General features: G+C 40.2%; 1 protein-coding gene across 55 annotated transcripts in view; it reads right to left on the bottom strand.

Annotated features, from left to right (window-relative positions):
- Positions 1–13,187, bottom strand: part of SGIP1 (SH3GL interacting endocytic adaptor 1) — a 217,779-nt gene extending 204,592 nt beyond the window's left edge. For 29 of the 55 annotated variants that reach the window (XR_007064415.1, XM_006710961.3, NM_001350217.2 and 26 more), the window contains exon 1: positions 12,180–12,395. Coding sequence is in view for 54 of the 55 variants with exons in the window: in XM_006710961.3 (XP_006711024.1) it covers positions 12,180–12,189 (10 nt within the window). In the remaining variant the exon portion in view is untranslated. Of the gene's footprint in view, positions 1–12,179; positions 12,396–12,610; positions 12,956–13,140 lie in introns of those variants that run through there. The other 26 variants (XM_017002506.2, NM_001376534.1, NM_001376539.1 and 23 more) reach the window with 4 other exon arrangements.
- Positions 13,188–14,153: the final 966 nt, after the last annotated feature.

The following is a 14,153-nucleotide window of genomic DNA, read 5'->3' as shown; positions in this document are numbered from 1 at the left end:
AGGAATAGTAAAATAAATTATGATGCTGATGAGATCACCAAGGGTTAAGGAACTTCAGGTTGTCTGTCTCCAAAGCTCATGTTCTGCACTCAACAAACTGTAGTAGTGGTTGGTTCTTTCTTAACAATGAGATTATTTGGGAATTTAATTTTCTTCTATGTATCTTCTTATTTTGCAAGTTTTCTGCAATGAAACCTGTCCTCTTAAAATCAGAGGAAATGATTAAAGGAGTCAGGCAGACATATGTGAGATACTATATTAACTGCACACTCCTGGAACCAGAATGTGGCTCTCAGCCAGTGTGATCCTACGTGGCAGATGGGTGCTTTGGGAAGAGCAGAGGAAGCATGATCCAGGGTATTGCCTGGCATCCAGGAACTTTACTGGGACCTCTGATGTGCACATGACATTTAATAAGCTTCTACTATGGACCAAATACTCTTCTAAATGTTTTGCATATTTTAACTCATTTAATTCTCATAATAACCATATGCTGGGTGGCTTGACTCTTTCACCAAAAGTTTGTGATCCTTACACAGGATTCATTTATTAAAACTGGGTATTTATTGAGCATTTACACACATGCACACATTGGGAATCCTAAAGTGAGTAAAATATGGTCTCTACTGTGGCATAGTCCTTGGTTTTTGAGCAAGGAACAAAGCAGGTATAAGAATGTGCTATGCCTAAAAGAGAATAGTAATTAAGATTTATTGGGAGCTTAACATTTTATCTTAAGACTTCACCATCAACGCCTGCCTGAGTTACTGGCCTGCCAGCCTGTGCTACAAATTTTGGACCTGCCATGCCAGTCCCCACAATCATGTGAGCCAATTCCTTACTTAAAAATTCCTCTCTCTCTTTCTCTCTGTATGTATACACACACACACACACACACACACACACACACACACACACAATTTGTTCAGTTCTGTCTCTCTGGAGAACTCCAAGTGCTACAAGTGCACTTTCTGATTTAATTTTTTCAAACTTACATGTTTAAATTACCCATGAGAAAGACTGTTATCGTCACATCCACTTTCCTGAGGAGGAAACATGTTCACTAGCTCCCTAGAGTCACACACACAGGTTTAAGCTGGATCAGCCTGACTCCAAAGCTAGTGCTCTCATTCTCAACCTGCTGCATATGTGAAGGCTTCACTGAAGGCAGACAGTCTTTCGTTAGTCCACTTGAAAAGTCAGAACAGACTGTTTCCATATAGAGAAGGAATGGAATGGCAAGTCCAAGGGCAAGAGAATGGCAAGGAGCTCTGTCTGGCTGGGCCAGTGAGAGATGAGGCTGAAGGCAGCCTGTGTGTGAAAGCTTTGCACAGCACACTAAGGCATTTGGACTTCATCTTAGAAGCATGGTAAACAATCAAAGGCAGATGAGGAAATTGATGTCTTTTGTGGCTGTGAGGAGGATTCATTGGAAGGTGGAAGCAGCAAGGTCTGATCAGATGTGTTAGCAGGGGATGAAAGAGAGAGAACAGAGTCAAGAGCTATTTAGGAAAGACAATCTACAGCTCTTAAGGACCTACTGATGTAGGACAGGAAGGAAGGAGGAATTAGGAATTAATCCAAGCAGTGACTCTAGCTTGGCTACCTGGTAGACATAGTTCTTCAAATTAGTGCACAAGAAGGCTAAGAGAAATTTAATGGTTACAGTCAATAGCACAGGAGTAAGGTTCTACCTACAATCGGGCTTAGAGACCATTTCAGGCCATTGTTACCAGAACTGCTGCTGTGAGAAATTTTTGACATGTCATTTTTGGTGATTCACTAAGGGCATTTGTAAAGGTGGGTGCACAGGTAGATCACCTATATTCTAGTGGTTTTTTATATGTATGTTTGTTTTTGAGACAGAGTCTCCCTCTGTGGCCCAGGCTGGAGTGCAGTGATGTGATCATAGCTCACTGCAGCCTCCGCTTCCAAGGTTCAAGTGATTCTCCCGCCTCAGCCTCATGATTAGCTGGGAGTACAGGTGCGCACCACCATGCCCAGCTAATTTTTTTGTAATTTTAGTAGAGGCAGGGTCTCGCCATGTTGGCCAGCCTGGTCTATTAACTCCTGGCTTCAAGTGATCCACCTACCTCGGCCTCCCTAAGGGCTGGAATTACAGGTATGAGCCACCTCTCCCGGCCTGTATTCTGGTTTTATTCCCTGTATTTCAACTTTGGGAAACTGCTTGTGGTAAGGAATGCAAGGTAATATCATCTCATGTGCCAATTCCAATCAATTCACAGGAATTTCCTGGAATATGATGTTGAGATAGATACTAAAGCTAGGGAGAAAGATGGCTGTGATTGATTAGTGATGCCATACATGTTCAAGAAAGGGGTGGCCTAGCACATGGACATTGAGAATAAAGGATGATAGAGTATGCTTGTAACTTAATAGTATGGTGAAGAGGAGAAAGAAATCTGTAAGGCCTGTCTTCAGGAGAGGTACAGCAATAATCTACAGAAAAAGCAAAAGAGCAAGCAGTAATGTCTAGCCTCCAAAGGCTAAGAAATCCACAAGTAACACCCAATAGAACAATGGAAACTGTTCTATTTTATTATTAGTTATTATTGCCAATCTCTTACTGTGCCTAATTTATAAATTAAACTTTACCATGGGTATATAGGTTGAGAAAAAACTGTCTGAGAAAAAAACTGGCATCTGCACCACACTCTCTCAGATGTATATTTATTATTTCATTTGCTCTTCATAATGACTCTACGAGGTAGGTAGCCAGCATTATTCTCCCCTTACAAATGGGGAAGCTGAGGCCAACCGTTCCAGAACTCACTCAAGGTCACCCAGTCACAGAGGCGGTATAGTCCCTCTTCAAGTCCTGGCCCTTCCCCCCACACTGTACTGACTCACTGAGAAAATCAGGGGAGAGAGCTATAAATGGTCACATTGTATGTGTACTCAGTAGAACAATGACCCTGGGGACACATTCATTTGTGTCTCTTGGCAGTCACCCAGCCAGCCTCAGCACCTTTGAACGTGAAAAACACCATGGGCTCCAAGTCTTTGTCTATTCACAGTTTTGGAATCATTACTAAAATAAACTTTGACTTGTCCTCTTACAGAGAGAATAAAAATCCTTAGGTAAGTCTTTTCATTTGGCCTTGGTTTCTGCAACTCTAAAATGAGGTTGAACCCATTTGGTTAATCTTCAAATGATGGCACACATTATCATGTTTTCATGATAACAGCCACAGCTTTCATAAAATATCAGTGAACACCGAGCTGTCCTCCTCAGGGAAAAAAAAGGGCTTTTGTTCGTGGTGGGAACCAGGCTTTTTGATAAAACGTGTGGTAGAAGGTAAGCTGTGAAAGTTTAGAGTCCACTGGACTAGTGACATCACATCATGACGCTCTTCCTCAGAAAATTGTGGAAATTTTCTACTGAGCTACTGAAAAGAGCCCACTGGGATAAAATCCTTCTGTGTGAGGTGGCCTTCTTCAAGTTGATGACTGTTCTGAAAGATCATGACCTGATAATAAAATTAACTTGCTTAGTTCTGAAGAAGGCTTTTGAAACATCCAGTCAGATTTAAACAATCTGCTGTTTACTTGCCAGTCAGAGACCTAGGCCAAACACTTTGGATATGAGCAAGATTTTCCAGTTACGCCGTTATACAAATAAACAGCACTTAACTAGGAGTCAAGCCTGGCTGATAAGTGCTGGTTCTGCCACTAGTAAGGAGGTCACCTTGAGTGTCACTTAACCTTAGTGGGCCCTAGTTTCCTTCTGTTTAAAATAAGGATAGTAACACAAAAGTCCCTCCTTATCCAAGGTTTCATTTTCTGTGGGTTCAGTTACCCACAGTCAACAGTGATCTGAAAATATTAAATGAAAAATTATAGAAATAACCAATTCATAAGTTTTAAATTGCACACCATTTTGAGTAGTGTAATGAAATCTCGTGCCATCCTACTCCATCCTGTCTGGGACACGAATCAGTCCTTTGTCCAGTGTATCCACGCTGTCTACACTACCTGCTCTTAGTCACTTAGTAGTCGTCTCAGTCATCATATTGTTGCATATCGCAGTGCCTGTGTTCAAGGTCAATGGCAGCCTAACGCTGTGTCACAATGCATACGTCATTCACTCCACTTCATCTCATCATGTAGGCACTGTAACATCTCACATCATCAGAAGAGAGGTGCATACTGTATAACAAAATATTTTGAGACAGACACCGCATTCACATAACTTTTATTACAGCAGATTGTTATAACTGTTCTAAATTTTATTATTCGTTATTGTCGCCAATCTCCTACTGTGCCTTATTTACAAATTAACTTTACCATAGGTAAATTTAATTTTACCTGTGATAAAGGTAAAATGATCATAGGTAAAACTGATACCTACTGATTGATATCTATGAAGGTATATATATAATTATATATATAAATCATCTTTATCTCATATATATGTATAGGAAAAAGCATAGTGCATATAGGGTTTGGTAATATCTGTAGTTTCAGGCATCCGCTGGGGATCTTGGAACATATCCTCTGCAGATAAGGGAGGATTACCGTACTTATTCTTTCTACCACACAGAGACATTGCACGAATAAAATATGTACATGCTAATGTGGTATCATATACTAGACTCCATGCTTCTGAAGAAGGGGGACATTGTTGCCTTGTGTTTTGCTGCCATTTCATTGTGCCTAGTACAGCAACTGAGATATCAGAAACACTCCAGGTGTATCTGTTAGATGAATAAAGCATTTTTAAAACTTTTAAGCATGTGCAAATGTCACATAATCTTTGACAATGCCCTAAATGAGCTCAGTATTTTCCTCCTTAAATTGTTTGTTAAAGAGAAGAAACACAGGTAACTCCACACAAGCTTTCAAAAATCCTAAACCACTAGTCCTGACACATAACAGAAGTGGATATGAACCAAAAATAAAAATGAAAGTTTTTGGTATACACCAAAAAACATGTGAGTAGATGTGTAATTTTGATCCTGGAATGACACTTTCATGGCATTTACATCTTTTCTGTGAAAATGTTCAAGCCTAGAGTTGTTGCTGAGCTCTCAGCTGTAACTTTGGGCTTGGAATGGTGAGCTAAGACAAGGACATGACACTCATTCACTTATTAAATGTGTGAGAAGAATGAGCCCAAGGGGCACTGTCACAAGACATTCACAGAACGGGTATCTGAATGCTAGACTTCTGAATGCTCACCTGTCACTTGATCCATGGATCACATAAACTCATGCTGACTGACTTCTGCAAAAGGATGCCCACATGGGCAGACATTTTAATCTGTTTTGTTCACTACTGAGCTTATAGCACTTAGAATAATGCCTAGTGTGCATTCGATACAGAATATTTGATGAATAAATAAACAGTTCCAGACTAGGAGTTGCAGAAGAGGGTTGCCATAAATGCACTTTTTGTGTTCCAGTACAGCAAAGAGGCAAAAGTAAATTGTGGATGCAGAATAAACAACATAGAGAAAAATTAAACTAATAAAAGGTAGATAGTAATGCATTTGAATTATTTGTGTGTCAGGGATGAATATATTCTGAGGTGAGAGGAAAAGGAGTCAGTCATTAGAATTCAAACCTTGGAGGGAGTAGATGTGAGGAATCCTAATCATTCAGAAAATGCCAGAGACTGTTAGAGCTGGAAGTTCTAGAGGTATGGCACATCAATTATCTCATTTTGTTTGCAAGGAAACAGAGCCCAGGAATGTAAAGTAACTTTCTCATGGCATACAGCCAGGCAGTCACAACACTTAGACTCAAACTCAAGTCTGACTTCTGGGTTCATGTTCTTTCAACCAAAAAGCCCAACTGCATAAAATCAGCTAACACATTGAGCTCCTAAGATTAACAAATTCTTCAATCAGGAGTAATTTGCATCTGAAAAATCTCATATTCCATGACATTGCCACTGTACACACAAATACACCGAACAACATTACACTCGTTTACATTCACTCATTTATTTAAAAATACTTTCCCACATTCCAAGTCGAACCTGCTGGCTTTATAAGCCACCATTTTCAGGCTTGGTCATAAACCAGAGAAAAGGAATGAGAACCCAGGAAGGGAAAGGTGGGATGGAAGAATGAGAAAAGTAGAGAAAGGAAAGGCAGAAATGCAAGGAAGGCAAAGGAAGAGAGAAAAGAAAAAAAGCATCCAGCATACTGACAAAACTGACTCTGGGAATTCTTTGAATGGTGGTGCTACAATGTGCCTCTTTTCATTATGAAATCATTTCCTAGGAGCTCATCACCAAAACAATTCAAGCTCAAGTACATATTTTCAAATGAACTATTTCTTTTTTTTTTGCATCTCAATATATATTATCTATTTCTCACAATTTATCACTGCAGAATATTGTCTTATTTCCTAATTGTTTCATGTTTATTGATTTTATTTCTCCAGTGAGAATACATATTTGAGCATTTTTTTCTTACGTCCATCATAATGCCCAAAATAATACCTAATAATGAATAGTATACAGTTATCTGAGCCATTTATATCTAGTTTTGTTCACTTATTCAATTAATAAACATGTTAAGTATTTATAGTGTGCCAAGAGCTAAGGATACAGAGATGAAAATGGTAGACCAGATTTCTGCCTTCGTGGAGCTTACATTTGAGTGAGAGATTCAGCCCATGCACTGAAAGCAACCACAAGCCATAAACACAGCTCTGAGGAGAGAGAGCGGGCTGAGATGGACTCAGTAGCCCAGGATATATGTTTGAGATGACAAGGATGATAGCAAAGGCTGCCTGAGGAGGTGACAGTTTTGCTGGGACCACAAGAGAATTGGTAACTCCATGACCTGCAAAAGGAGTGTTTTAGGCAAAGAAAAAGCCCTGAGGCATGAAAGTGTTTATTCTAAACATGAGGAGGCAGGCAGTGTGGCTTTCAGTGTGAGTGAAGTATTTGATGAGCCTGAAAAGGCACAGCAGGCCAGAGCATGCAGGGTCTTGTAGCCTATGGATTTTAAGAGAAATGGGAAGATATAGAAGTTTTCTTAAACAAGGAAGTCATGCCATGTGAAGTATTTAATTCTAGATGCCTAATATCTTTCTAATATCAGATCTTTCTAATATCCTGCAGATGTAGTTAACCAACATACAAGTTCCAAGAATAGAGGCCCATCGCTTCCCAAGTCTAAATACACTTCCCCAGTCTCTCTCCCATGGAAAGCTTGCCATTATGTGCCCACACCTACATTTGGTAGTTAGCACACAAACCTGTGAGACCCAATACCTCTGCCTCACACCGTACTTTTTCCTGCTTTTACTATGCTCCTCAATTCTGTTCTACCTATGACCTCTTTCTTATTCAGTTAATTTCTCCAAATGGGACTTACTCAGACACATGAGCCCAAATTCATAATAATCCCTTATCATTTTTCTCTCTTCCAACTCCTTTAGAATTATCTCAGCAAATTCTCTCTCCCACTTTTAATTCAGTCTGTGAGTTTACATCATGACTTTACTCATAATTTAAAAGCAGTTTGTATGATAAAATTGAATTGAGAAAAGATAAGCCACAAGTATGAGGGTAAAATTGAACATAATTGAAAAATCCAGTGTCATGAGTATCTAAAACTTCTGAAAATACCTAAAGTATTTGATGGTATTCTGAAAATACCTTCTAATTTTTTCTCCAGCTCTTCATTGTCCTCCAATTAAAGCTTCTTTCCTTCAAACAGCAACATCCAAAATTAAAAACACATTTAATGCCATAATTTTCTTCTATTTGATTACTATGGGAACCATACTGTTCTTTACACATTTTATGGCAAATATTTGCATGTTAGCTAGATATTGGGTTAATAGCCTTTGATGGACTTGTGTGAGACTCTATTATTTGTATCATTATTCCTATGGGAAAACATGTTCCAAGTAACCAGCTCACAAACAAACTTTCAGGAACATAAAAATTGTGAGTTGGTAACTTCCTGTACCTTGTTTATTTGAAACATGGATAGTGTATGTGCTACATCCAACAGAAAGAATGATCCAGAGTCTTCTAGTATGGTTTATCTAATTTAATTTTTTAAAGACTCCATATTCTTTTTAGAAGTATAAAGATGACCCCTGACATTTGGATGGGAACATATATATCTAAAGAGGTTCTTTATGATACAGAACACTGGAGAAGATGAGAAATTACACAGGTGATGGAACATATATTGGAATCTTCTATCTGCATGTTTAGATTTTCTAAAGTAATTTCATCATTTAAAGAAGAGAATCAGTAGGAAAATTAGAAGCATTCCCTTTAAAACTTCTTAACTAAATACAAAATGAACAGCTCCAGCTTCAAGATGTCTTGCTCTTTTCTGACCAAACCAAAGAATTTTCCAAATGTTATTTTAGTAAAACTCTGTTTCTAGATAGGAAAAGAAGAAGTTCTTAGTGTTTATAAGGTTTATTGCAACAACAGAAGTTTAGTTACTCTTCAATTATGCAAAATTTTTTAAATAATGATTTTGGACATAAAAGGCATTAATAAGAAGTTAAAGAGTATAGTTCTGTCAATATTCATATTTAAAACAGAGAGACACAGAATATGCAACCAAAGGCACTACAGCCTATTTTTCAATTAGGTTAACATGCCCAACCTGATGCAAAGCAAAACTAAGAGGTTCCTAGAGGGTCAAAAACATGAGCTTTGTGGTTAAATGGATGTAGGTTCAAATTTCACTCCACCATTTTTTTGCCTCAATGCATTATTTTTACTTTTGAAAGGTAGAAAAGGACTGAAAAAAGCACCGTATATACAATATACTTAGTTTCAGGTTATTATGAGTAGTAAATATAATAAAATATATTAAATTATCCTGAATATTGTAATTAAACCCAGTAAGCCCTTAAAAATATTTGCTTGTTAATTTTTTAAATTGTCATATAAAATGAAACCATTGGCACCCAGAAACTTATCTTTCTAGTATAGCACCTAAGAGCCTGAATATGGAACTAAAAACGCAAAACGCCTTCAGTTGGGCCTACGTGAACAAGGAAAGTACTTTCTAGACACCCTCACAAATAGACAGATAGCCCAAGAAACTCTGACTTAGTTCCAGTTATCTTAGAAAGGATAGCTAAAGAATGCCATTTTCAAACTTTAATAATAATATATCAAAAAATAGTCCTTGAATAGTTGCCCTAACCACATAGACTTCATTGTAAGCTTAGCCAATATGTACACTCCATAGTTAATAATTCCCTTTGCTCATCATCTTTCCTTTCATATTTATACTACAGAAGGCTCCAGATCATGTGGCTTTCTTTAGAAAAGAAACAACTCAATGCCAACCACTGCCAAAAGATAAAGTATGCAGGAAGCAGCAAATCAAGTCCCCTAAAATATGTTTTTTAATTAAAATATGTTAAAAGAACCATGGAGCCACAAACCACTAATCACCTGCTTGTGGTCCCTGGGGAATTATTTCGTTGACTTCCACAAAATTAGGATCACTGAGGAGGTAGTAACATTTATCATCTATGATTGGATGGATTTCCAATAGGCATTGAATGAATGGAGCCTATATCCTGTTCCACACAAACAAAACGTAGTTTACTATGACCCATTCTGCTGAATATTTGTTTACTCTTGCTTTACACAAAGTAGAGAAGTGCCTTTGAAAAGTTGCCATGGCCATGCTTTTTCTGAGCAGCAGACTAAAACACTTTAGCAATATAGAAATGTACAGCCACACGAGTGCAAATATATGTTTTCTTCCTTTCCAGAAATGTGTTTGGGTGGATGACTCTGTGTGTGTGTGAGACACACTAGTTCAGAAGAAATATGATTTTAACTAGATGTTTGGTAGCACATTCTCAGAGTCCACTAATGTTTCAACGAAGAGCTGCCATGACAAATTTGGGGTGCCTTTTATGAGGTTCCTTATCTTTCCAAGGTTATTGTGGTAGATGTACAGAGGCTGGCAATCTCTAGAGATGAGTTAAGTTGAAATAATAATTATATACCACACCTTCAGAATAAGAGCAATTCAGAGGTGAAATTCTGCCATGCAATACCAGAAACATGAATGTATATTGCCAAAAAGACTGTCAACTAAGTTGGAAGGCAACTGATAGCAAATTGATTTTTGGTTAAACTCCTATTTGCCTTTCTAAGGTCACCGAACTATTAAGATAATAAGGCTTAAAAACATTTAAGTAGGAGCTATGGGTAGAAATAAATGTTAATTTCATTTAGCTATTTAAGCCAGTGGGAACACCTGTCCAATTTCTCTTGCAAAAGATCTGGTGAAAGACAACTGTATCCATAGTATAATTCATACTAATTCATACCAGTGCTAAGATAACATTGTTCATTAGATAAATTTGGCAAACCCAGAGCAATAGTGCTAATTCAGCTCCAGCACAAGTCTTTGTTGCAGTTCTCATTTTGGTTTAGGCAGCCTGGATAAGCTTATCACAGAGCTTTGAACTGACATTCTTGGATGGCACAATAGACCATATTACCAGGAGAATCATTCATGAGCATCAAAAAACGTTACAACCTTCAAAGAAGATACTTTAGTGCCATGGTTTGCAAGGCAAGAAGTGAAAAGAAAGAGCATCCAATTCTCTATGCAACACTGAAATCTAATCAGAATGTGTGCAGATGCATTTTTAAGAAAGCTATATGAAGTTGAGCTGGAGAAATACAGTACCTCTACAGGCAAGATATTTTTTCTGAAGAAGATAATCCACATGAGCTTTTAATTGAAAAGTGCATAAATAACACTCTGTCTTGCCTTGTTATTCAAAGATTAAATCAATTTTGAATTAATGAAAATGATTTAATCTGAGAGTGTTAGCAATCTCAATTTATTTAGGCCTGGATTTAAAGGGCTAGCTTGAGAGCCTTTTGCAAACAAGACTCAGCTCCATAACAAAATCATACCCAACCTCTCTTTTAAGGCTATCTTCTAAAATCTGTGGGTTTTGACTCTAGAATTCTTCACTCCCCCAAATCACATTAACAATGTTTGACATGATGACAGGGAGAGCAAAAAGAATTCATTTCTGCCAAATAAGTACAGGCTACACTGCTGTTTTTATGAAACCTTCCTCCTCTTATTCCATTTTGGTAAATTTCTAAGGAATAGTTAAAATCCGTAGGACAAACCTTGGCTTAAGAGGTGGCCTCTCTGCCATTTTCATGGCTGATTTGAGACCCATTATGCACTCAATTCTGCATTGTGAAATCCAGGCTGGGGACAAATTTCTGCCTGTCATCTTAGGAAAGGCCAGGAGTTTTGCACCATCCTATAGTGTGAAAACAGAAAATCAAAGCCTGCATAGAGCTGCTTGCTTCTTTCCTGATCAGCTTGCTGCTTTTTGGAGACAATCTTGGCTGTCACAGTGTCAGACTGGGAAGGGTAATTTAGCAGAATAAAATATAGTTTAAATAGCATCTCTCCAGGGAAAGTTCCTCCTTACACTCAATATTGAATATGCGAAAAGATCATCAGCAAATAATCATTTGATACTTGGCTAAAATCCATTGGACAGGGAAAGCATTTAGGGAGCACAAAATTCTTTTTTAACCTGATAAGACCCCGAATCAGGAGGCAAGAGGCCCGGATATTTTCCTTATATTTTTCATTCTGTTGCAATGACATTCTCATACAACTACAGTTTATGGACCAAATTTGCTGCCCTCCCCATCCCAATAATATGATGTAAACTGCAGAGATAAAAATACCTTATGAGAATTTTTACAATTTTAAACAGTTCACTGAAAATGTCTGTATGGATAACTCTGTTAATGACCTCTCCTGTCTAATGTCAATTTCAGAAAACAAGTTTCCATTGTAAATGTTTAATCAGTGTAGTCCCAGGAACCCAGAACAGAAAACCTTATCTTCTCGCCCAACTTATTTGCTCTGCAAGCTCTTTCCTAGCTCCATCTCAGCTCCCTGCAAACACTTTAGGCTTTTCTCTCTCAAAGGAGCTGGGAGCTCTGTAGGTTCTGAGCTAGGCAGCAGCCCTGTGGTTTGATTCCATTAGTCTGAGCCCAGATCCACTGCAAGCAAACTGCAGCATTTCTGCTTGCAAAACATTGGCAACCAGGTTCTAGAACCGCCACATACACTGGCTGCACATATTCTTTAATGCTGTTCTGCCCAAACCTTGCCTGAAGCCAGTCAACCATAGCAGAAAGCATCCTACCTTCCATCATGGTGGCAGAATTGCATTCCTTAATTTCCAAGGAGTCTGAAAAAACACAGGAGGATACGATTCCAGGTCCCAGCTAAGTCCTCACCACGCCGCTGCTGAGGTCTATTCCGTCCGCTGTCAAAGCCAAAGGAGATAAGTGTTAAGCCAAAAGACAGGCCATGGATGCTGCTGGTGCTTCTTCACCTACAGGCAGGCTACCAAGAAGATGCTGAGAGAAAGGGAGAGGAACGGCAAGCTGGCCGAGCTGCACCGCCTGCGCTGCCTCGGCCAATCCCTTCAGCTTTGGACCGCGTCACATGGTAGCCAGCCTGCATCTCCTGACACAATACCCCCGGAGAGCACACAGAACCTATTTCCCGTCCCCATTCCCCTCCACCCCCATCGCCTCCCGCTTGTCACCAAATACACAGCCCCTTCCCCACCTGGTGACGCACTTCCCCCGCCCCTCCTCGTCGTCTCCTTAAGCTTACAGAAGCGGCTGGGTGCCCGAGATTAGTTATCAAGGGCTGCCACCTTAACAGGGGACTCTGGCGTGAAAGCAGCACCTAAGTGGCTCGCTGCGGAGGGGGTTCTTTTCTTTTTCTTTCTTTCTTTCTTTTTTTGTTTTTTTAAGAAAAACTTAATAATTCCGTGCAGCCGGAAATCTTAGCAACACACTTCTAAGCTCCCATTCCGGTGTCCTTTTACCCTGAAGGAATTCCAAATGTCAGTGTCTGTGGCCTCCGTGCACATCTGTGCGTCTCTCTCTCTCTCCGTCTCTCTTTCTCCCCTCCCATCCTTCATTCAAGAGAGAAAAATCAATCCGACTGACGTCACATCATAAACATCCCCAAAAGGATGATGCAGAAGAAATTTCACCCCAGCTGCCTTCGTGAGAGCCAGGGAATTAATTGCGCATGACATGCTGAAGGGCTGGGAACTGTCATTAAAACAAAGAAACAAAAGAACCCACCCGAGTGGGGCTCTGGAATCAAACTGGCAACGCTCGAGATCGTTTCTGGGGCGGGAGGCTGGAAAGGGGAGCAGGCAGGGAGCGGAAGCCTGAGCCCGACCAAAGACAGCTGTGCACGCCGGCTCCCTCCCACTCCAACCTGGGCTCGCCGTCCGGGCTACAGACGGGACCCTGCGGGGCGCCCTTCGACGACCGAGTTCGAGTCCCGCCGCCACCGCGTCCTCCCCGCCGAGCGCACACGGGAGCGGCCTCGCTTCCCCAGGTGGGGAGCTTTTCTCGCAACCGACTGGGGCTGCAGCTGCCAACTGCAGTCTCTGTAGGAAACAAACTTTCTCCTAAATGACACGTTTCTCCGCGACGCGCCTCCTGCATCTGGAGTCGCCTTCAAGCCTATTCATTCACCCAAGTGGAAACCTGGAGGGAGGCAGTTGTGCCTGGTTGTGGCGGAGCCCAGGGTTTTGAAGCTGCCAGGAATGGGATCTGGGGGCTGTGTAGTTGCCTAAGTGGGAAGTTGTGTCACTGGGCCCGGTTGGGTTCAGTCTGTCACCTGACTGCTCTCCAGAGACCATGGAGCCTTTCAGAAGGGCCCAGCCCTGGGGGATCTACGACCCTTGGTTCCCTTCAAGAAAGCTCAGACAGCGAAGGAAGAAAAGGGCAGGGCAGCCTATGAGAGAGAGAAGGCAGAGAAAAAGGAAAGGAGATGGGAGGAAAGGGAACGCCTTCTTTAGAACTCAGGAAAAACAACATCAGAAGTGGGCATTTCTCCCTGTATAATCTCACAGTATGACCAGGAGAAAAGCTGTTACAATAGAGAGCAATTGTGAGCATCCAATGAAAATGTACTCAAAATAACTGGAAGAAGATGCATGGTATGATCAGGGTTGAGCCTGTAATGTATTATTAATCATTTCTATTAGCAATATACTCATGAACTTTTTCTATTGCTCAGCCCTGGACATGGCCTAGCTCTTTCTACCAAAGCAAATATGACGTACTGGTGACTGACTGAAGTA

This window comes from Homo sapiens, chromosome 1, assembly GCF_000001405.40.
Source record: "Homo sapiens chromosome 1, GRCh38.p14 Primary Assembly".
NCBI lineage: Eukaryota > Metazoa > Chordata > Mammalia > Primates > Hominidae > Homo > Homo sapiens.
Note: the sequence above shows the minus strand (reverse complement) of the source record. Positions and strands in the feature narration are given on the sequence as shown.